Source organism: Homo sapiens, chromosome 3 (genome assembly GCF_000001405.40).
Source record: "Homo sapiens chromosome 3, GRCh38.p14 Primary Assembly".
Classification (NCBI taxonomy): Eukaryota; Metazoa; Chordata; class Mammalia; order Primates; family Hominidae; genus Homo; species Homo sapiens.
Window position 1 is genome coordinate 161372100 of NC_000003.12, and position 1799 is coordinate 161373898.

The window sequence follows — 1799 nt, forward strand, 5'->3', positions numbered from 1 at the left end:
GAAGGTGGGAGCTCTGGGGCTTTAGCCTAAGCTGCGTTAAAGCGCTCAGGGAAAGCCCGCGCCCAGCATCCATCGGGCTGCAGACTTTGGCAAGGGGGCGAAGAAGCCCGGGTGTAAGCGCAGCAGGACTGCGTCTGAAACTCGGCATCAGGCTGCTAAGTGAGCCCAGGGCTCGGGCTGGGGCAGCGGGCGGCCAAGCAAGCATCCCACCCCATTTATTTGTCAAAAACCGAAGAAAGCAAAGCCTTTTAGCACTGGCAGCTAATTTTGGTGCCTCTGAACGTGTGAAACGCCCCTCCCCGCCCCACTCGCATCCTGCCACCTTGCCCGCGGTAGCTAGGAGGTTAATCGTTAAAAAGGTGGACTCCCCCAGGGAAATAGATGAAAGGATCGTGCCCGGAGAACTTGTGTGTGCCCACTCACAAGTGCAGAGAATTAATCTCGGCCCGGACTGCGGCAGGAGGGCAAACTGGGGAAAGAAGGCTGGGAGGCGGCCCGGTGGTGCAGAGACGCGCGGCGCCTGCTCCCGCGGCTCCCGGGGCTGGCGTGCCCTGCGCTTACGCTCCGCGCTCGAATATCTTCCCCGGAGGGCTCGGGACCAGCGCGAGCACCTTCCCTGGAAGCCCACATCCATCACCCAGCGATCTCCTCTCCATCGAGAGCAGGGCTTGCTGAGAGTGGCGGAGGACCTTGAAGGCTCCCGGTTCTGTATCTCCGTGGCCGAGACGCTTTCTGCTCGAGGCCCAGGGGAGTCCGGGAGCGAAAGCCTCTTTTGATGAATGAGCATTTGGGCAGTATCTGCCCATCAGCCCCCACTGCCGAAGGAGGAGACACTGCACATGCTCGGCCAGGGCTGATTGTGTTAAAGCGCGAATTTTAGCTGCTGGCAGGTCTCTGCTCATCCTCACAACGCGCTTTCAGCGGGTTCCACACTGCCAGGGCTATTACGAAGAGGGAGGCTCACGTTATTGGGCGGTGGTGTCTCCATGCAGGAGGGAGGATGTCCCCAGAGGAAGCTAAAGGTAGATGGGGGCAGGGAAGGGAACCAATAGAAACAGAGCACCTGCTTGGGCCCGTGTTAGCCATTTTACGTAGTTATCATTTCCTTCTGCTCCCGTGTCTAAATAGCAGCAACCACTGCTAGTGTTATTTATTTCTTTATCACTTTATGTTGGTCACATTCCTTATCTTTTGGCTTCTCGCGACACACCTTGCAATATTGGCAGGGTAGATATGACCACTCAGGGCATGTAGATCAGGAAATAGAAACCCTAAGAAAGGACTTGGCGGGGACTACCAAGGCCATGTTGGTGAGGCCAATTCTATTTACACTGGTAAATCTTATTTTTCATTATCTATTTACCCCCACTTAGTTGTGACACTCCACCCTCCATACTGTGATTGCACATTTGTGGAAATATAGAAATAGACCTTCTTGGCAAAGGTTTGTGAAATGGATATGAGACCTTGCAACTACTCCAACTGGAGGTTGGGGGAAACTGGCACAGCTGGCAGATGTATTCAGACCATTAAAAATAATCTTAAATAACATACACGTATTATAACCACACACAGGAACATCTTTATGAATATCTTAGCACCTCCAAACGGAGAATACATATTAACATGTTTTCCATACAACTATAGAACATTCTCGAAACTTAACTAGATCACAAACTATAGGTCAACACTTTTATTTTTATTTTTATTTTGGAGACAGGGTCTCACTCTGTCGCCCAGGTTGGAGCGGAGAGGCACAGTCACAGCTCACTGCAGTCTCAGCCTCCTGGGCTCAAGTG